This window comes from Homo sapiens, chromosome 12 (genome assembly GCF_000001405.40).
Source record: "Homo sapiens chromosome 12, GRCh38.p14 Primary Assembly".
NCBI lineage: Eukaryota > Metazoa > Chordata > Mammalia > Primates > Hominidae > Homo > Homo sapiens.
This window is the reverse complement of record NC_000012.12, coordinates 1,245,487-1,268,783: the sequence shown is the minus strand read 5'-3', so window position 1 is coordinate 1,268,783 and position 23,297 is coordinate 1,245,487. Positions and strand designations below refer to the sequence as shown.

The window sequence follows — 23,297 nt, the reverse complement described above, 5'->3', positions numbered from 1 at the left end:
CTTTCTTTCTTTCTTTTTTATATGGAGTCTCGCTCTGTCGCCCAGGCTGGAGTGCAGTGGCACGATCTCAGCTCACTGCAAACTCTGCCTCCCAGATTCACGCCATTCTCCTGCCTCAGCCTCCCGAGTAGCTGTGACTACAGGTACCCGCCACCACACCTGGCTAATTTTTTAATTCACACATAGAATCTCCTCCGGGAAGCCTTCTGCAGACCTCCCAAATCTGGATTTCAGGCTTGCCCCTCTTCCTCTGTTCCTAAAGCTCTGTATTAAGACCTCTACCATGGTAGTTGTCAAACAGAACCATAATTGTAAGTTCATCCTTCAGTCTTTCCCAATAAACTACAAGCTTCTTGAAGACAGAGGCTGTATCTATTACCTTTTCATTTTCAGTGCTTAATGTGGCATTTGGAAAAGCACAAGATTTTTTTAAATGTTAGCAGGGAAAAAGGTACAAGTGAAAGTATAATTTTATTTTCAGAGCAACACTGCCATTTAATAAACAATGAGGGAAATATAACTTAATATTCAGACCAGTAAAGAATTATGTTTATAAAAGTAAAGAATAAATTGCTAAAAGTAAAAAAGGCAATAAGAAAGACGAAGGAATACAATTATAGTTCTATTAGTGTACATTATCTTCTACAGACATACCCCTCTACCAGTTTTGCTTCTGTAGTGGCAACTGTTCATTCTGAAAATGAACTTGGGTATTCTGGTGATAACTGTTGCATAAATGACAGAGGAGATTTTCAGCCAATGAAGAACTTTATACATTAACAACAACAAAAAAATATGTAATCCTTAAAAATGCTCATTAATGTATCATTACCTAGCAAACCACAGATATAATCCTATAACCTTGAACATCAAGAATTTATACTTTATAAGCCAAATAATGTCAAAATGGCAATTTGAAAAAATATTACTGTTTATCACTGAATATCACTGTTAAAAATGGGGCTTTTAAAAGAACAACCAAATTCATATGTGCAAATATGTTGTTATTATTATTATTTTTAAAGACAGGGTCTCACTCTGTTGCCCAGACTGGGATGCAGTGGTACAATCATGGCTCACTGCAGCCTCAAACTCCTAGGCTCAGGTGATCCTCTCACCTCAGTCCCTCAAGTAGCTGGGAATATAGGCATACCCCCTCATGCCCGGCTAATTAATTTTTATTTTCTTGTAGAGACGAGGCCTCGCATTGTCGTACAGGTTGGTCTCTAACTCTTGGCTTCAAGCAATCCTCCAGCGTCTGCCTCCCAAAGTGCTGGGATCACAGGCATGAGCCACTGTATCCCGGCCCAGTGAAGATATTTAAATCACTCTTTTAAAATGTTAAAATTCAAAAATTTAAATTTCATAACATCATAGCTGAACTAAGCATACTGCTCCTTAGCCCCTGGCAATTCTGAGACTTGTTTAGGAGACCTTGTTTAAGAAAAGTGACACTCACATTCAATAAAGCACAAAACCCACCAAAAGTTAAACAGAGAAAGCTTCCAGAAATAGAATCCCCACGTGGAAAGGGACAAAGCAAAAGTAAAGGAGCTGTTGGGTTCTCCCCTGTGGGGATCATTCACTTCCATCTTCCAATTTGCTCACACAGGTTAGGGGGCACCTTCCTTCATTAGGTCATTACACAACTTCTCTAAATTTCTAGCATGGGCTCAGCGTGGGGCAGCATGTATTAGGAATAAATAAACTGTAAGGGGATCCCGTGAGAATAAAGAAAAGGCATCAAGAGATGTTTTCTTATGGGAGTTCTTCCTTGCTCGAACTTTGGAAGGTTCTACATCTTATTTTAATAAGAGCTATGGCTCCCATACAATTTTACTTTGCTCTTGGAGGAATTAAGAGATGTAGATATCCTACCTTTATCAGAAAAAGTCATTCTTTCCCAGAAGCTAAATTTAAGTGAGAAACAGGTAACTTTTGAATCTGAGAAAGATAATGTTCCTAAACAAAAAAGCCTCATTTAAGGCATTTCAAAAGAACATTTGTAGATTATCTCAGTACATATAATTAACGTACATAAGTAAAATTAATAGTAGAGCTAAAAGACAGGAAAAGATGGGCCAGGCACGGTGACTTACACCTGTAATCCCAGCACTTTCAGAGGCCGAGGCGGGCGGATCACTTGAGGTCAGGAGTTCGAGACCAGCCTGGCCAACATGGTGAAACCCCGTCTCTACTAAAAATACAAAAATTAGCTGGGCGTGGTGGCACATGCTTGTAGCCCCAGCTACTTGGGAGGCTGAGGCAGGAGAATGGCTTGAACCCTGGAGGCAGAGGTTGCAGTGAGCTGAGATCATGCCATTACACTCCAGCCCGGGCGACAGAGCAAGACTCCATCTCAAAAAAAAAAAAAAAAAAAAAAAAAAAAAAAGACAGGAAACGATAAAAATAATAATAAAAAATGGGAGAGGAGAGGACAGTAGATGAAGGTTGTAAGGCTTCAGAAGTATAAACATAAAAGCAATTTCTTCATACCTTGAACCACTTAAAGTTCAAATAACTGGTCTCATGCAATATTTCACGCAACAGCTTCAGATAGGCAGTGAGTAGCAGAAAGGTGGACAAGAAAACAGAAAAGGAAAAAAGCATACAATTAAAAGCAAAATACATACAGCCACTTTGGGAGACTGTTTGGCAGCTTTTTCCAAAACTCCTACCATATGATCTTACCACAGAATCCAGCAATCACACTCACAGTTATTTACCCAAATGAGCTGAAAACTTATATCCACACCAAAGTCTGCATGTGAATGTTTACAGCAGCTTTGTTCCTAAGTGCCAAAAACTGAATGGTACCAAGACGTCCTTCAACAGCTGAAGGAATGAACAAACTGCGGCATATCCATACAATGGAATATCATTCAGAGATAAAGAGAAATGAGCTATCAAGCCACAAAAAGAAGAACCTTAAATGCAGATGCTGAGTGAAAGAAGCCAATCTGAACATGCTACATACTATATGACTCCAACTACCAATAAAGAAAACGGCAAAACTACAGAGGCAGTAAAAAGATCACGGACTGGGGAGACGGGGAAGGAATAAATCGGTGGGGCATGATACTTTAAGGGCAGTGCAACTACTCTGTATAATACTGTAATGGCAGATGCATGTCATTATACATTTGGCAAAACTCACGGGACTGTGCGTCACGAAAAGTGAACCCTCAACTATGGACCACACAGTTAATAACAATGTATTAAAACTGGTTCATTAATTTTAACAAATACTACACTGGCGCAACATGTTAATAATAGGGGAAACTGAGGCAGAGAAAGGCGTAAATGGAAGCTCTTTGCACTTTCTGCTCAATTTTTCTGCAAACCTAAAAACTGCGAAGTCTATTAACCATAAATAAAACATACCCCTAAAGCATATTATAATCAGTTCACACAATAGCCTCAAAAAGGAAAATACATAACAGAAGTCTGTATCCCATAATGACATGATTATTAATTGCCAAAATCTCTGCATGATCTCTGATGTTTAATACTTGTCAATAAATAATGAGGCCAAAGCAGAAGAAAAATCTTTCTTTGAAAAATAAAGGAGAGAATATAAAAAGGGTAAAATCAAGATTAAAGGAAATTACTCTCCACCCTTGGGTGACACAATGGCTGTCACCATCCCTTCTCTGAAGCTCTCCACTAACCAAGCTCTATGTGACTGTGCATTAGGAATGTATTTGAAGAAAGAGTAGACAAGGTATTTATCTAGGAACAGGGCACTGAAAGGCACTCATTCTGCAAAAAGTTCATTCTCTCTCAGCTTTGCCAATGAGGTTGGTCTTTTTTTCTATACTTGACACAAAAGAAACCATATCTTTCTATCTCACACAGCTATGAAGGGACTCCCTGGGGCACATACTATGTCTGCCTTGGAAACATACCCTTCTTTACTATAGCTACCTTAACTCAAAATAACACCTTGGTCTGACCAAGGGGTTCCTAGAAAGATTCCTGCCACCCTCTCATTGAGTATTTTTTTCCTGTTTAACATTTATATTTCTCCCACAAAGAAATGGAAAGGAAACAACTACTGCAAAATTAAGTGTTATGAACCTCTGTGTCAGATAGATTTGAAATCTTTTTTTTTTTGTTTGAGACAGAGTCTCGCTCTGTCGCCCAGGCTGGAGTGCAGTGGTGCGATCTCGGCTCACTGCAAGCTCCGCCTCCCAGGTTCACGCCATTCTCCTGCCTCAGCCTCCCGAGTAGCTGGGACTACAGGCGCCCGCCACCACGCCCAGCTAATTTTTTGTATTTTTAGTAGAGACGGGGTTTCACCGTGTTAGCCAGGATGGTCTCGATCTCCTGACCTCAAGTGATCCGCCCGCCTCGGCCTCCCAAAGTGCTGGGATTACAGGCGTGAACCACCGCGCTCGGCCTAGGTTTGAAATCTTAAATCACATTCTCATAATGGGAGCTGGGATTATAACCTTCACTTGTTAAAACTATTTCTTCCATTCACTTTTCCCATCTGTAGTTATTCTTCCTAATGAAAAGTCAAAAGCAAGAGTCTGGAGATCTTAAAAGATGCAGGATATATGTAAAACAAGCATCACAAACTGCCACAGCAGAACTCTTCAGCAAGTCCCTCCGAGGCTGCTTATCTGGGACTCAAGTGCATGGTTTCTATGTCCTTCATACTCACTGTTAACCTTAACTTGTTACAACCTTAACTCTTCTCTTCAATGAGGCAGGGTATGAAATGAATAAAATATTAGCTATTTGAAATTAACGTTTTTCAGTCAGAAATGTTTGTATCTTTTTTTTTTTGGCCGGGCACAGTGGCTCACGCCTGTAATCCCAGCACTTTGGGAAGCCGGGGCAGGTGGATCACCTGAGGTCAGGAGTTCGAGACCAGCCTGGCCAACATGGTGAAACCCCAACTTTACTAAAAATACAAAAATTAGCTGGGCGTGCTGGCAGGCACCTGTAATCCCAGCTACTCGGGAGGTTGAGGCAGGAGAATCACTTGAACCCGGGAGGCAGAGGTTGCAGTGAGCTGAGATCACACCATCGCACTCCAGCCTGGGGGACAAGAGCAAGATTTTGTCTCAAAAAAATTAATAATAATAAAAGAAAAAAAAGAGAAACGTTCATGTTTTTTCTTTCCGTTTAAAAGCCAGGGTTGTGCCCAGTCTTGTAGCAGACAGACAAGCTCCATTTCATCTCGTCCAATACATTAGCACATGCTACATAAATATATATGGGATCAGACCTAAGTTATTAATGCAGGGACTTCTGTGTTAACATGAGTCAATTCTCATACAACTTTATTTCAATTCTTATTTAAGAAAGAGTAGACAAGGCATTTATCTAGGAACAGGGCACTGAAAGGCACTCATTCTGCAAAATGTTCATCAATTCTCTCTCAGCTTTGCTAATAAAGTTGGTCTTTCTTTCTATACTTGACACAAAAGAAACCACATCCTTGTATCTAATACCGCTATGAAGGAACTCCTTGGGACTTCTCCTCTATGAAGTGTTTTTGAAACCCTATAAACATACAATATGTATAGTTTACCTAAACTATACTGGTTGTGTGTTACCTTTTGGTTAACCAGCAGCATTGCTTGGAACTGTATAAAATAGCAGACCTGTTTTTCAGCATTGGTCCTGGCTGATTCCTCTTGTGCTAGCACCATTTCCCGCTCTGCAGTTATCTGTACACTTTCTCTTAGTGCTTCTTCCAGCTCTTCAATCCTGTCATCCTTCTTACGGAGACTGTCCTAGAAAATGATGGAAGACTAGGTGAAGTGGATTAATTACTTAACCCAGGGAGAGCCTATTTATTAAGAAAGGGCTGTTTGCTTATTAAATGTTCTTTCCATCAGAAGCAAATCCAGGTCAACAAGATATCGTCACAGAGGACACAATAAAGAAAGCAAGGAAAGGAAAGAAGGAGGCTGAAGAAGTATATCATTAACAGCAAAGGCTCAAGTTAGTTAAGCAAGACAAATGTGAGAAATTTGCTCTCTGTAACAGAGAGAACAAAACTGTGTTAGACAGCAGAGGTGGCAAGGGCTTGATTACTTAAAAGCACAAAGTTGTTTTTGAACTACTCTCTAAGCATAAAGCCAGCTTTGATGAGATAGTAATTCGACCGAATATCAAAACACTCTTTCCCTGCAGTTAAGCCTACATGAAAAAGTGCAGTAAGCAGCATCATCTTTCAGATGATATTCTTCATAGACAATTGTCAGCAAACGATTTCTTAAAAGACATTGAAAAGCAAGTGATGCATCCTAGTATTTCAAGAATGTATGGTTTTCTCATAATCTCATAGGAGAAAACCAAAAATGACAACTGGATATAAGTGACCGGTCTGGCTAAGAATGAGCAATTTTATCAGCCAACTAAGCAATTCCCAGCCCTGATGTTCTACACAAGTTTAAAACACAGCTTCCGGAGAGGTGAATGTTGATCTATCAGAAAGTCAAACAAAACCCTACAGAACGCTGAGTTCATGTAAGATAGGAGAGATCTTAAGAAGACAACATGAAGAAGAGTTCAAGTGGGATGGAGAACTGCAGTCATCAGGTTATTATAGGCACTTCCTTCTTTAACTTCTTATGAAACTAGAGGATTAAGAATAAAGTGCTTCCTTTTAAAAATACATAAAACAAAAGAGCAAGATTTGCTAAACCATTCTCCAATTTTCAGAGTACTCATATCAGGAAAAGATATCCAAGAATTTTTTATTTTATCTAAGAAACTCAATTATACCACAGCCCACTTTTGTAAGTCCTTTTTGACAACTGTACCTTCAAAAATCTAGAACTTGAAATCTGTCAAAGTTAAGTCAGATTTTTCTCCCCACTTTGGAAGAACAGCATCTATTATTTAACATTCTTCTTAATGAACAGTTGATAAATCTTTTCCTCTCTCGTTTTTCTAAATTTTAAAAAATGAGATTTAGAAAAAAATTCACATTTTGGTGCTGTACGTGATGTTCATGTTACAAGTTTTCATTCTTCTCAGAGAACTGTGTTTCTCCACAGTTATAAAATACTGTGATCTATTCCCATAAGTGAGGTTCTGTTTTATGTAGGGCAGTTTATCTGTATCAAACAAAACAAAACAAAACAAAACAAAAGAAAACAAACGTTGTTTGTTGAGCTCTTCCTTCCCTCTGTTGACTTGCCATGAGCAGCACAGTACAGTGGAGGGTTTTAAAGGGACGCCGCGCGCAGAGACAAGGAACGATGCCCGTCAAAACAAAGGCCAAGGTGGTTTCTTCAGAATCAAAGAAAACTAAACATAAAAGAAGGATTACGAACTAAGAGATGGATGCAATGATTAGTTCAGTCTTCTCAAACCCTCTAATGAATGAGAATGACTATTTTGGAGTAATGTGGGATTCTAAAATACAGATTGCTGTAAGTATAAAGAAGCATAAAGAAACATTATTAATACATAAAGTTGATAACGTTTCTCATTAGCAACTTACGGAAAACTCAGTATTATGTCTTTGTGCGGTCTATCCTATCCCACTCTTAAACTGTTTTTTGCAAGTCTCCTGAGAGGCTTCTATTATCTAAAATTGAGGCTCAAACAGTTAATTCCAAATAACTTCCCAGGAATCTATTTCAAGCAAACAACTTCACTTGTACATCTGCGTGGGGCAAAAATAGCTTTGTGGCTGTATCAATAAAAAACTTTTAGGGAGAAAATGATTAGTAATCTGTCACAATGCAGAGAATCAAGTTTCATAGTGTTTCATTATAAAACTCATGTCATGACTTTACCTGAAGCCGGCAGTGAAACCAGAGTGTACTCCATGAGCTCAGTGTTCACAGCCTTATTTAAAAAAGATTTCTGGAATTAATGACAAAGCCTGGTTCAAAATCTTTCTCGATAATAAGGATGAAAAACAAAAGCCAAGTGAAACTACAAATAAAAGGAAATGGCTGATAAGTAATATTTACGTGATATTATAAGTCACATAACATTTCGATGTAAAGCTAAGTATGGAAGCATTTGCTCTAACGCAACTGTATCAAACTAGGATAGTAAAATACAAGAGAAAGAAGACGGCAAATATCTCTCTCACCTTCATTTACAAAGTCCAGAATTACTTAATCTATCGAGTGGGTAAAATCTGGCACTAGTTTTAGTTTTGGAATTTTGAGAGCTCTGCTAAAATAAACCAAGAAGTTTCTCTTGTGTTGAACCACAGCTTGAATCTCCTATTTAATTTAATAAAATGTTGAGCCACTGTAAGAAATAAACAGGAAAGCCCTTGAGTCCTACAAATACCAGAGTATCAACAGCACTGCTAGGTAATATTTATAATCACTCTTTCTTGTCCTCGCTCTTGCAAAAAGATTAAATCCATCATTTGGTGCTTAGATGATAATATGAATACTCTTTCTGTAAAGTTTAGAACACTAGAGGAAAGAAAACATCTTGAAAACTTTTAGAAAGGCCAAAAATGATCACTTGTCAGATCAACAAATCAGAAGACACTGGAGTTTTTAAAGGCAACACAGGAAAGTAGAAGACAATTTGAGTAATGGTTTCAAAACTCTAAGGGAAAACAAATGATTACCAATCTAGAATTCTGTATCTAAACTACCAATCAAATATGGGAGTTGAATGCAAAATCCCCCCAAAAAAGTATCTCACTCAACGACTCTCTCAGGAAGCTACTACGGTATACTCTATGAAAATGAAGAGGTAAACCTGGAAAGAAGATGTGGGATCCAGAAAAAAGAGCTCTACCATAGGTGAGTGGTGAAGGGAACCACAAGCATGACACAACCTAGAGACTAACTACACACTACAGCAGAGAAAGGAAATGAATGTTTCCAAGAAAAACAGCAGATGTATGGATTATCCAAGGGCAATTAGTAAGGGATGATGTGTTTTTATAGTAGCAATGATATCAGGAGGAATTTTATGGGTGTAGAAAGGAATCTGGGAATAGATACCCAAGAAAGCAGGGCGTGGTGGCTCACGCCTGCAATCCCAGCACTTTGGGAGGCCAAGGCGGGTGGATCACGAGGTCAGGAGTTTGAGACCAGCCTGACCAACATGGTGAAACCCCGTCTCTACTGAAAATACAAAAAAATTAGCTGGGCGTTGTGGCGGGCGCCTGTAATCCCAGCTACTCAGGAGGTTGAGGCAGGAGAATCACTTGAACCAGGAGGTGGAGGTTGCAGTGAGCCAAGATCATGCCATTGCACTCCAGCCTGGGTAACAGAGTGAGACTCCGTCTCAAAAAAAAAAAAAAAAAAAAAGAAAGAAAGAAAGAGATACCCAAGACAGGAAAAACAAAAAGGAAAACTAAGGTACCCTAGGAAAGACCAAAATGTAAATCATAATATACTACGTGCCTCAGTTTTAAAAATGTAGACCTAGATATAATTATATTGGAAGGACAGAAAGAAGTAAGTGTGTGTGTTGGTTTGTGTAAAAACACTAATTCCTCATCATCTATGATAAGATGTCAACAGACAACGCCCAAATAAGAAAAATAATACAACAATAATATAAGAATGTCATTTGGAAAGATAAAAATAAACAACAGTAGAAACAACCAAAAGAGATGAAAGTGGTCATCTCAGAGGAAGAGGAATCAGAGTTAGAAAAGAATAAGAGAAGTGACTATTATTCTAAGACATGTAAGTATTATTTGTGTAAATAATATAAAATACATAGTTCTGATATAAAATCAAAAGAAAATTGAAAAATATGTTAAAAGAGTATCTTGCACTATGAAGAAATCAATAGGGATCTAAAGACCTTCTGGAAATAGTTACAAGTGTCATTGTTTAGATAACTGATATCTAAATATGTAAGTTAACTGTTTACTGTGAAAAGAGAAAAGCAGACCAGGCAAACACATCTTCAGGCAGTGCTCATGATCAGAAAAAAGAAAGGTAAAGAGAACAAAACATGTATGGATTATACATCATTGTGCTCTTCAGCTTTTTATTCAAAAGTCCTATGAATTTCTTCACGGCAATATTTTACAGAAGTGGGTCAGAATTATGATAAGAAATTCCTTTCAAGTCTTTTGATAACCATGGGATGTTCTAAATAACAACATTTTTTAAAAGGGACAATATTATCACAGTAAGTTCTTCCATAAATCCTGAAGATTCTGAAGATTTAAAAATCTCTAATCTGTCAATGCCAGACTTTGAGTTGAAGAAGTGACAGTTGTCACCAGCTTCCTTGAAAGTGAGTGAGCCAATAAGATGTCATATTAGACTTGAGAATCATGAAATGCAACAGACTTCACATACTTCTGCTCTGAGGACCACATCGATGAAGTAAGGGGATGTGCTAAAACCCCTGGAAAGTGCTTCCTGGTGGCCCAAGTGTAAGAGTGATTCTACCATGTGTAGCCTGAGGCTTGGAATACATGCTTTACATGCTAAAGTACATTTTCTCCTTCAAAAAGTCCATATTCACCAACCTTCATGATAAACTATGAGACAGTAAGAGCCATTCTGAGTCTGTAATGCTGAAGAAATCTACATATACTATGTACTATCCCTAATTCCTCCTATCCCTATATTCCTTAGGTTTGAAGGATCTGAAGCATCTGGAAATTAGGAAGTTGACTTACTGGAACTAAATGTAGCTAGAGATTAAGATAGGACATGCCACACTTAATTTGAGAAAATCATACCTGTTGTTTATAGGCATTCTTAATCTGCCGCTAGCTTAGAAGAAAATATTCTTCTTTAGCTAATATACTATTTGTACTGTCCAATGCAGAAGCCACTAGCAACAACTAGCTACTGGGTGATTAAACGTGGCTAGTCCAAACTGAGATGTGCTATAAACACACCTAAATTTCAAAAACTTAGTCTTAAAAAAAGGAGGTACAACACTTCTTTAATAATTTTCATATTGATTATATGTTGAAATAATATTTTGGATATATTTGATTAAAGAAAACATTATTAAAATTAATGTTTCCTTTTAGTTTTTTTAATGAGACTATTAGAAAATTCAAAATTATACGTGTGGCTCACATTGTATTTCTACTGGAGAATGTGGCACTAGTTAGAGCAGTTTTTTACATAGGAAATAAATCTATAAAAGGCTATATGACACATCATGTTTTACATACATTTGTAACTCTTTTCCCAGCTTACAGGCTGTCAGCAGACAAATATGAGTTATATAGGTAATAAACACCAACAAAAGCTCCAATGTTACCCAACCCTGATAATTACCATGGTGATAATATGAATAAAACAATTTAAAATAGCATTTATTACTCTAACAGAGAAAACCAAACTGTGGATTTAGAGGGGAAAAATCAGACTATGGTAGATCACCTTAATACTAAAAATATAAAATATCTGTAATCATTGTTCATTGTTGTATTAATGAGTTACTTCGAAACTTAGCAGCTTAAGAAAACAGTGAATACTGATTATCTCACACAGTTTGTGTGGGTCAAGAACTCAAAAGCAGCTTAGCTAAACAGTTCTGGTGCCAGGGTCTCTTATGAGGTGGTAGTCAAGATGTCAACCAGGATTCAGTCCTTTGCTTCCACTTACATGGCTGGCAAGGTGGTGCAGCTAGTGGCAAGAGGCCTCTGTTCCTCTCCACCGGGCTGCTTGAGTGTCATTACAACACGGAGGCTGGCTCTCACCAGGGCAAGTGATTCAGGAGTGCAAGGCAGTTGCATCAGTATCTTTTGTGATGTAGCTTCAGAAGCCGGCGCCATCACTTCTGCCTTCTTGTACGGTTCATACAGACCAATCCTGACAGGGTGCGGGAGAGGACTACACAAGGGCATGAACGCCAGGAGGTAAGGATGACTTGGAGTCAAACTGAAGGATGGGTATTATAGAACCTGAGGATGTAGCTCCAGTATAACAAAACTGGATTATCAATGAAGACAAAATTTCTTCTCCAAGAAAAATGCCTTTTAGGCTAACAGGACCTCAATTATAAAAACACAGCTGTTGGTATGAGACTATATTAAAATGGAACCCAAACATACCTAAAATATAAAGGCAGATATTATGGAGACTACAGAATTGAGATATGGCTCAGCATTTCACTGAATGTGAAACCAGCAAGATATGCATTATGTCAGGAATTATTCAGAATAAACTCTGCAAGTGATTTGAACTCTAATAAAATATTTTCTTGTGACTATGATTATAAATTAGAGTAATCCAACGTATTCATAAATAGTTCAACACCAAGAATACTCAGTGATAGGCCAATCATCAAAGTTCAGCTGAAAAAAAATTGGGCAAATGTTTTAAGAGATATACAATGGAGGTTTATCAATAAGCTTAGTCATCACATTTGAGTGAATCCTCACATTTGACTGTTTGGGGAATCAACTTTTTTTTTTTTTTTTTAGTCTGAGAACGAAATACTCAGAGTCTATTGGCCCCCACTGAATAAAGACCCTCTTTAAACTCCTGTTTCCTCATGAATTTTCATTATAACTGCTTCTAGTCTTAAAGTAGACAAGGGAAAAAGTTATAAAAAAAAAAAAAGGCAAAAACAGAGTCTAATTTTAAATTACAACTGTGTATTTCAAAATTGTTTTTAAAGAAGTAGATTTCATCAGAGTGAACAGGCAACCTACAGAATGGGAGAAAATTTTTGCAATCTATCCATCTGACAAAGGGCTAATATCCAGAATCTACAAAGAACTTAAACAAATTTACAAGAAAAAAGCAAACCCCATCAAAAAATGGGCAAAGGATATGAACAGACACTTCTCAAAAGGAGACATTTATGTAGCCAACAGACTTGAAAAATGCTCATCATCACTGGTCATTAGAGAAATGCAAATCAAAACCACAATGAGATACCATCTCACACCTGTTAGAATGGCGATCATTAAACTCACGCCTGTAATCCCAGCACTTTGGGAGGTTGAGGTGGGCGGATCACGAGGTCAGGAGATTGAGACCATCCTGGCTAACATGGTGAAACCCCGTCTCTACTAAAAAAAAATACAAAAAAAAATTAGCCAGGAGTGGTGGTGGGTGCCTGTAGTCCCAGCTACTCGGGAGGCTGAGGCAGGAGAATGGCGTGAACCCGGGAGGCAGAACTTGCAGTGAGCCGAGATCACGCCACTGCACTCCAGCCTGGGCAACAGAATGAGACTCCGTCTCAAAAAAAAAAAAAAAAAAAAAAAAAAAAAGGCCAGGAAGCAACAGATGCTGAAGAGGTTGTGGAAAAACAGGAATGCTTTTATACTGTTGGTGGGAGTGTAAATTAGTTCAACCATTGTGGAAGACAGTGTGGTGATTCCTCAAGGATCTAGAACTAGAAATACCATTTGACCCGGCAATCCCATTACTGGGTATATACCCCAAAGGATTATAAATCATTCTATAATAAAGATACATGCACACGAATGTTTATTGTGGCACGGTTCACAATAGCAACGACTTGGAACCAACCTAAATGTCCATCAGCGATAGACTGGATTAAGCAAATGTGGCACATATATACCATGGAATACTATGCAGCCATAAAGAAGGATAAGCTCATGTCCTTTGCAGGGACATGGATGAAGCTGGAAACCCTAATTCTCAGCAAACTAACACAAGAACAGAAAACCAAACACCGCATGTTCTCACTCATAAGTGGGAGTTGAACAATCAGAACACATGGACACAGGGAGGAGAACATCACACACTGGGGCCTGTTGGGGGGGTTTGGGGCTGGGGGAGGGATAACATTAGGAGAAAATAGCTAATGTAGGTGACAGGTTGATGGGTGCAGCAACTCACCATGGCACATGTATACCTATGTAACAAAACTGCACATTCTGCACATGAAACCCAGAACTTAAAGTATTAAAAAAAAAAAAAAAGTGGATTTGAGATGTTCTCACCACAAAGAAATGACAAGTATGTGAGGTGATGGATATGTTAATTAGCCTGATTTGATCATTCCACAATGTATACATGTATTCAAACATCACCATACATACGTACGATTATTATTTGTCAATTAAAAATTAAGCTTGTAATCCCAGCACTTTGGGAAGCCAAGGTGGGTGGATCACCTGAGGTCAGGAGTTCAAGACCAGCCTGGCCAACATGGTGAAACCACATCTCTACTAAAAATACAAAAATTATCCTGGGTGGTGATGCACACCGGTAATCCCAGCCACTCGGGAGGCTGAGGCAGGGAGAATTGCCTGAACCGGGGAGGCGGTGGTTGCAGTGAGCCAAGACTATGCCACCACACTCCAGCCTGGGAGAGGGAGTAAGACTTTGGCTCAAAAAAATATATAAAATAAAATAAAAATAAAATTTAAAAAAATTACAAAGGGGAATTATTAGGTTGGTGCCAAAGTAATTGTGGTTTTTGCCATTAACACAGGTACTGTTTGGAGATAAGCCATTTTATAGCACTCACTAATTAGAAAAAAGCATTAAATTGGCAGCCTAGGGGAATAAGACTAAGTAGAGAGAGAGTTTTATTCCATGCACCTGCCCTAACTTGGCTATTTTACTCTGCTTAAACAATTCAGGCAACCCAAAATTTAGAAATGTACTGTGTGTCACAGACATCTCACTTAATAGCTATCTAGAGATAGCAAAGGAACATGCTTTATCATTTTAAATAGTTCATATCACCTAAAATGAAAGCAGTATCTTTAGAGTTTTACTTCAACTGCTATTAACCACATTTGCACTCACCAAAACGAACCCAGACCATTTTTCCTACCATTGGATTATGTAACTGAAGCCTACTTTTGCCAGCCTCACATATTTGCTGAAATCAAATACGAATACTTCACTCACAGAGTACAGGGTTCACGGCAGGAGGTTTGTGTGACTACTTTGAGGGGTCTGGTAGAGGGAGAAGAAGGAAGACCTTTCAAAGAATCCCTCATCTCCTTAAAGAAGAAGACTCCTATATTCAAAGAGACTAGGGCAGAAGTTGGGACAGCCTAACTATAGCTTCACTCAGGCAGATTAACAGGGAGAGACTGGACTCTATAGCAACTCCCATGATACCACTCCCAATACATCTCTCAGAACTTTACTTCTTGATGTCAGCTCTGTCAACACCAAGCTACACATCACTGAGCTGTAAGACTCTACCCTCCACTGCCTTTTTTTTTCTTTGAGATGCAGTTTCCCTCTTGTTGCCCAGGCTGGAGTGCAATGGCGTGATCTCGGCTCACCACAACCTCCACCTCCTGGGTTCAAGCAATTCTCCTGCCTCGGCCTCCAGAGTAGCTGGGATTACAGGCATGCACCACCACGCCTGGCGAATTTTGTATTTTTCATAGAGATAAGGTTTCTACATGTTGGTCAGGCTAGTCTCGAACTCCTGACCTCAGGTGATCTGCCCGCCTCGGCTTCCCAAAGTGCTGGGATTACAGGTGTGAGCCACCACACCCAGCTAGCTGCCTTTCTTTCCAATCAAACATTCAATCAGAAAAGCAAAGGCAGAGGAGAAACTGCAATTAAAATTTAATTTGTTGTTCCCTCAAACATCTCCCTCAAAAATTGTTAACAAGGCCCTACAGTATAGTCACATAAAAAAGAGCTACTTGATGATGGTAGATCTCCCTAAGCTTTTGCCTTTTTCTGCAGCAGAAAGAAGGCCAATTCAGATTTCACAAAGATTATCCAAAGTAACAATCTCCCACATTCTCTCCTCCCTCTCCCAGCTCTCATTCTGACACGGTAATGGAAGTCATTTATTTGAATTAATAATAAGAGCTGCTTCCTTGGAAGTAAACACCACTTACCAGACAGACTTTAACCTGTTCTGAAAGATATTAATGTTAACTGTTATCCATTATCCTTAACGTAAAGAGACAGTAATTCTTTGTTACCTTCAACCCCACTGCTTATTCTGCCTCCCTCTTCCCCATCCCCTAAGCATATATACACATCCAGAAGATTTCATTAAAATCATTCAACATGTCAGAATTCATTTACCAACTTCTCAGATGCTTTGTGGGGAAAAAAATTGAAGCCAGATGCACTGATGAAGTGAAAGCTAGCACAACACAGAGACAGAATTTGGTTACACACCAACTACTTTAAGGCAATACTGTGGGTTAAAATTTAAAAATATTCTCTCCCTCCTTCTCCTTAAAACACCTCAAATGTCTCCCCTCAGTTAAGAGTGGTGCTCTGTTATAACCCCAATTGTTAAAAACCAAAGTCAAAACAAAAGCAGATGTATTTCATTAAATAAACAGAAAAGTACACATATAAAAATGATGCTTTATATCAATAAATTTTACAGAGCATAGAGTACAAATATCCCATACAGACTGGGAAGGGTCTCATCTTGAAAATCATGGTAGCTGAGTATGAGAAACTTGGGCAAGGACATGGAGTTTACCTAATCCTAGGACACTATAAATCTTTGATCTGTAATGCTTATAAAAAGAACAAGCATACCTTTTCAAAGTCTTTACCAAAAAATCCCAAAAATATCTTTTCCTTAAAATAACAGACAACTGATGTGGCCCATAAGAGGCTGACCTTTGCTTCTGAGGTCTTAGAAAATGGACTATTTGCATACCTGCTTCTGTTCTCTTAAAAAATAACAGGATTAGCATTCAGTGGCATAATAAGGCAACTATAACTAACAACACTTTGTTGTACATGTTAAAATACCTAAAAGAATAGAATTATAACGTTCCTAACACAGAGAAATGATAAATGCTTGAGGGGATGAGTACCCTAATTACCCAGATCTGATCATTACACATTACATGCTTGTATCAAAACATCATGTGTACCTCGTAAATATGTATAACTATTATGTATCCATTATAATTAAAAATAAAATTTAAGAAAAAAAAGAATCTCATTGGAGACTTTTCCTTCCAAATGCAAACCAAGAAGAGCTCACACAACACAAAGGAAAGGAGTAAACCATTCATTTCACTAAAGTGAGAACTTAGTAGTCCAGTTTTTAATAATTTTAGTGCCTAATGTAATTTTATTCATCATTTTATGGAGAGCACATTAGTCCTATCAATAAAGTCTTTCAATAAATTTCACTGCTATTAAATTGAACTGACATGTGGCCAGAGGGAAAAGTACTACAGAGTCCATTTCAAACACTGCAGAATTTTAAAAAGTAATGTTAAGCCGTGTTTTTGCTTTCTTTCTAAATGGTAAAAAGTGGCCCAGTTTGAGATAGGAGTTTTTAAAAGCTGCACACATAACCAACAATTTGTGTAGGTGCTTCACCTGCAGTAAAAGAGAATTTTCATGCGTAATTTCAGCAACTATCCACAGGGATGTAAAAACAGATGCTGATTTATATGCACACTTTTCCATTGTGATCCGTTACTCTAATATTCATTAAGAACACCATAAAAACTCACCTACGACAATATTCTATATAGAAAAAGCCCTGTTTTACTAAGAAAAAATTTTTATTAAAAAGGAAGAAATGATACAGGATTAAACATTTAAATAGGTGAAGGAAAAGTTCTAGAAACAGGAAATCAAAATTTATTTTTGCAAAAACAGGAACATTAATATATTAGATGTATCCAGCATGTGACAAATCACATACTATTTCTAGAAATAGTATTCCTAAAAAGATGTCAATCTTAATGTTTATAAAAGGCTTTCTTAAATAATTATCCCCCTGGCAAATCTAAAAATGAAGGATAAGTAGTGTTCATTCTCAGAAAGGAAAAAAAATCTCTTATCAAAATGAAGAAACTGTTTTTGTAGACAGAGTTAAATCAAATTACAGAGAAAAACACAAATGTTTCATTGACTATATATCTAAGAAGAGAATATGCTTAAATATATGTAAAGCTGATTTTCCCCGGCTCTATTTCCATTGTTTTCACTTTCTTTGAACTTTATTCTTAATATTCATTGGTTTCGGGAGAGCTGTCTCACAGCACCACAGCATTCCATTAATCTCTCTCACAACAACCTCTTTCAAGGTTAAATTCAGATACTTATCTTTGTTATAAAGGAAAACAAAGCCCCAAACCACTATTGATAGGAGCCTCCTTTCAGTCCACTCTACTTTGCATTATTAGGACGTGACTAAAACTTACAGCCTTGCTGAAAGGTGTATCTGAGTGTCACTGCTCAAAGAATTAATATTCTCAACTAAGGGAAGATGGCATTTCCTGTGTTAAAACATACAAGGCTCTTAAAGGATAGCCTACAGAATTTTAGAGAATATTTATTAGGATGCTGAATGGAATATCATTCAGTTCCAAAAAAATTATAACTAAATTAAATTTTATTATTTATAACTCAATAAGTACAGCTATAATTAATGAACCTATGCAAAACAGTGTTTAAGAAAAACTAAAAAGAAATTTTAAAGTAATTCTTCACTTATGGCAGATATAAACTAGCTGAGAAGGGAAAATTAAATGGGTTAAATCACACAGGGGCAATTATAAAACAATGTATTGAAAAGTATGTAAACAATAAAGCATGATTAAACATTCAGGCTAAGGAACAATGGATAAGGCAATAACAAGTCCAGGCAGAGTTCATCAACAAAAGTTAATTTGAAGGCAGAATCTTTATGTAGTAAAACTGGAAATCCACAGGAAAAAGATTCTGCAGAAGTAGAAGAGCATACATTAGGAAAACAACGTGTTATATTCAAAGAAACCAACACTGTCAGCTTGTGTAAAACAGAGAAGCCAAGCATCTGACCTCAAGATGAGGTTAAAACAGAGCTTGCTTTAATAGGAGGCTCCAAATGCCAGGTGCAATGATCTGAATCAGATCAGATCAGAATCAGAATCTGAATTTTGTGTGCTCCCAAAATTCAAACGTTGAAATCTAATCACCAATGTGATGGTATTAGGAGGTGGAGCTTTTGGGAGGTCATTAGGTCATGAGAGCAGAGCCCTCATGAATGGCATTAAATGCCCTTATAAAAGAGGCTGCAGAGAGCTGCCTTGCCCCTTCCACCATGTGAGGACACAACAAGAAGGTGCTACCTATGAACCAGAAAGTGGACCTGTACCAGACACCAAATCTGCTGGTTCCTTGATCTTGGACTTTCCAGGCACAGAACTGTGAGAAATAAATTTCTGTTGTTTATAAGCTAGCCAGTTTACAGTATTTCGCTATAGCAGCCCAAATAGACTAAGAGACCAGGCTAAGATGCATGTGACAGAACGTTCTTGACATCTATAGATACAATTAAAATCAATAAGCATTTATGAAGTACCAACTATATGTAAAATACCAAGACATGGTCCCCAAGCTCAAGTATGCAGAAGAACCAGCACACAATTAGCATATAATACAAAGTAATATAAAATAATCCCCAAATCAATGCAGAAACAAACTAATGAAATTACAACAGAAGGTATGATTAATTCCAACTGCGAGGATTTAGGCAGCTTCGCAAGAAAAAGCATCTGACCCTTAAAAGATGGGTAGGCTTTCAAGAGAAAGCTTTTTTTAATCCCCAATTCACCAACAGCCAAATCAGCTAAGACTATGCTTCTATATGTTTTATTTGAAAGGTTCTTGCTGTTGCTGGAATTTACCTAATTTCAGTTCTGCGTATAGCAATTACTATAATTGAAATTATTGTACTTGTATTATAACACATCTTTTGACAGCCAGCAGAAATAAAAAGTTATAATAAGTAATGTAAAGTATAATCCATGCATTTTGGAGGCTAAGGCAGAAGGACTGCTTGAGGCCAGGAGTTCAAGTCCAGACTGGGCAACACAGCAAGACTCAGTCTCTACTTAAAATAAGAAGAAAAAAAAAATTAGCCAGGTGTGGTGGCACACCCCTATAGTCCCAGATACTCCAGAGGCTGAGGCAGGAGAATCGCTTAAGTCCAGGAGTTTGAGGCTGCAGTGAACTATGATCATGCCACTGCACTGCAGCCTGAGTGACAGAGCGAGTCTGTCTCCAAAAATTTTTTTTTAAATATAAATAAAAACCTCTCTCCTCAATTCTCACAGAGCCCTTACCAGAATGTGAGCTTCTTAAGAGAAAGAAGCTTGTTTGTCTCGTGCAACATTACTGTTTCTAGCATAGAAAACTGCACAGCACACAAAGGTATGAAACAGTGAGCAAACACTTTTGTATGACTCTTGTCCCACTCCAATCATCCTCCAGATATTGCAAAAAACAGTATCCTGAAAATGCGAATCAGATCCTGTCAACTTTTCACGTAGACTGTTTCACTACTTGTAAAATCTAAACTTCTTTTCATGGCCTATAAGGTCCCTTTTGACCTGACCCTTACCTATTCTCTACTTTGAAAATGCCAAGCTTTTCACTGCCATATGGGTAACCTCAATTTTTTGTCTTCTCCACTTTTTATAAGGCTTTTTCAGATCTCAATATCCTTTGGGAGGACTCCTCTGATGTCACTACCTAAATTTGTTGCCCAAAATATTTCCCTCCCCCATCATCTATCACAGTGTCCTGTTTATTTCTTTGTAGTACTTACCCTGATTGATATTTACTTATTTGTTTAGTTTTATTGTTTTTCCATGAGACAATGTTCCAGAAGGGCGGAGAACATGTCTTTTCACTGCTGTATAACCAAAGATTAGCAACAGTGCCTGACACTTAGAAAGCATTCGATAAATTTATATTGAAAAAATGAAAGACATCTCAAGTATGTTTAAAAATGAGTAAAATTAAACCTTCTATACTTGAAGGATACAGACAGGTCAAGGTTCATCTCTAGGTCTAGGTATAACTCTACTGATAATAGCCATATTACATCATCATGGCTTGAGGATTTGAGTCTAATCTTTAGAACGATCAACTTGATTAGCTACATCCTTTTTATTTTTATTTTTTTGAGATGCAGTTTTGCTGTTGTTGCCCAGGCTAGAGTGCAGTTGCATGATCTCGGCTCACCGCAACCTCCACCTCCCAGGTTCAAGCGATTCTCCTGCCTCAGCCTCCTGAGTAGCTGGGATTACAGGCATGTGCCACCACACCCGGCTACTTTTCTATTTTTAGTGGAGATGGGGTTTCTCCATGTTGGTCATGCTGGTCTTGAACTCCTGACCTCAGGTGATCCACCCACCTCAGCCTCCCAAAGTACTGGGATTACAGGCATGAGCCACCGTGCCCGGCCTGATCAGCTACATTCCTAATTAAACTACGGGTTTACGAAGTCAACAATATGAGAACATAATATCTGCATTCCTAAATTCAGGAAAAATGCCTGAGCTAACTAACCTGTTATGTTAATTTTGGTAGTAAGACATTTTTAAATTCCAAAGCATACTTATTTCAAAGAGATGGCAAAGTGAACTGGGTGATTAAAAGTGCTGAGAAATATAGTGTCAATACATTTGTTAAATAAAACTTTTATTCTGAATTAATTATGAACATACAGAAAAGCTGCAAAAACAGAACAGTGCCCATCTGCTCCTTATACAGGCTCCTGTAATGTTTATGGTTTACATAACCATAGTAAGATGATCAAAACTGGGAAATTAACACTGGTACAATGCTATTTACCAACCTGAGAACCTTACTTTCATTGTTTTTCCACCAATGTCCTTTCATTGTTTTTCCACCAATGTCCTTTCTTTCCGGATTTTTTTTTTCTTTTTTTGAGACAGGGTCTCACTCTGTCTTGCAGGCTGAAGCGCAGTGGCGCAAACAGGGCTTACTGCAACCTCAAACTCCTGGGCTCACTGCAACCTCAAACTCCTGGGCTCACTGCAACCTCAAACTCCTGGGCTCACTGCAACCTCAAACTCCTGGGCTCACTGCAACCTCAAACTCCTGGGCTCAAGTGATCCTCCCTCTTCAGCCTCCCAAGTAGCTGGGACTATAGGTATGCACCACTATACCCAGCTAATTTTCTGTTCCTTTTCCTGAAATCTGCTTTAATCCAAGATCCCACAATTCATTTAGCTGACATTTCCCCTCGAATACATCTGTAACTGCTCAGTCTTTCCTTGTCTTTCATCATCTTGACATATTTAAAGTGTACTGCTCAGTTATGTCGTAAAATGTCCCAGAATTTGCATTTGTCTGGCATTTTCTCATTACTGGAATGAGGCTACACATTTTTGGAAAGAATAACACAGAAATGATATTGTGTCCCTCTCAGTGCCTTGTATCAAGGGGTTCATGAGGTCAATGTCTCTTTATTACTGGTAATGTTAACTCTAAACACTTTGTTAAGGTGTCCTGGTAGGTTTCTTCACTGAAAAGTTAGTCTTCTGTTAAAATAAATAAACACCTTAGAGAAAACATTTTGAGACTATGAAAGCCATGTTTAACCTCAAACTTTCACACACTAACTTTCACAACCATCAGTTTGTCTCATGGTGATTTTCTTTTGGTCTATTTCCATCTATACTTATTAACTGAAATTCTTCTATGAGAAAGAGCCGTCTGTCCATATGCCATTTATTTATGTATTTGATTACTTATTTATATCAGCATAAACTCATGGATATGTATTTCATTCACGATTAAAATACTATCTTTTTTTTTTCTTTTGCTCACGTTTCATTTCTTTTTTAAAACTGCCAGTCTCCTTTGTGTAGATTCACCATGGTGAATTTAAGCACTCTCCCACCTATAGGCAATTAGGTTTTCAAAATTTTGCAATTACGAATAATGTTATAAGTCACCTTGTACATATGTATTTTTATATTTTTGGACATGTATATGCATATAAATCTACGACATGGGATAGCTGGGTCAAAAGATCTGCACATGTATATCATATATAACCCATATAAAAAAATCACTTTGAGGCCTGGTGCAGTGGCTCACGCCTATAATCCCAGCACCCTGGGAGGCCAAGGTGAGAGCATCACTTGAGGCCAGGAGTTCGAGACCAGCCTGGGCAACATAGTTAAGACTCAGTCTCTATTTAAAAAAAGAAAAAAAAATCACTTTGGGAACTTTAATAATGTTTAAATGCAAAGAGGCTTCTGAGACCAAAAAGTATGAGATAAGTTACTATAAATCACAGTAATTAACTGTCCAAAACACAAAGGTAGAAATAGGATACAACTGAGTGGCACCATGACATCGTAAGGAAGAGTATTCATATCTAAGGCCATGATAAATGACAAAAAAGTGTTTAGAATCTCTGGGATCCTCAGATTCTCTTAGTTTTTCAGGTATCATTTTCATTTCACATGTAAGACAGTGTTTAATCCAATCAGAACATTTTTAATGTGTTGAACCAAAAACAAAAAGCAAAGTAACCACTTACTTCTAAACTCACTTTCTGCCAAAAGGAATTACTTTTGGTACTATCTGAAGTATTCAAAGAATGGAAAATTGAAAAGAAATGAATCATCTTTTCAGAGCACTTTCAATATAAATGTG

The 23,297-nt window shown here is 37.8% G+C and overlaps 1 protein-coding gene across 54 annotated transcripts in view, besides 1 other annotated feature; it reads right to left on the bottom strand.

The window, feature by feature from the left end:
• Nucleotides 1-23,297, bottom strand: part of ERC1 (ELKS/RAB6-interacting/CAST family member 1) — a 505,975-nt gene that overhangs the window by 227,150 nt on the left and 255,528 nt on the right. For 24 of the 54 annotated variants that reach the window (XR_001748631.3, XM_047428562.1, XM_017019055.3 and 21 more), the window contains 2 exons: nucleotides 5,619-5,750; nucleotides 2,497-2,550 (listed from right to left, as the gene is read on the bottom strand). The exons of 8 other annotated variants lie outside the window; for them this stretch is intronic. Coding sequence is in view for 43 of the 46 variants with exons in the window: in XM_047428562.1 (XP_047284518.1) it covers nucleotides 2,497-2,550; nucleotides 5,619-5,750 (186 nt within the window). In the remaining 3 variants the exon portion in view is untranslated. The remainder of the gene's footprint in view (nucleotides 1-2,496; nucleotides 2,551-5,618; nucleotides 5,751-23,297) is intronic. 22 more of the 54 variants (NR_027948.3, NR_027949.3, XM_047428566.1 and 19 more) reach the window with 1 other exon arrangement.
• Nucleotides 17,627-18,226: an enhancer, noted in NCBI's record as "NANOG hESC enhancer chr12:1359724-1360323 (GRCh37/hg19 assembly coordinates)". NCBI's record gives its function as "activates a minimal SCP1, AML or CMV promoter by ChIP-STARR-seq in primed H9 embryonic stem cells {active_cell/tissue: H9 hESC(primed)}" and the evidence as "EXISTENCE:reporter gene assay evidence [ECO:0000049][PMID:30033119]".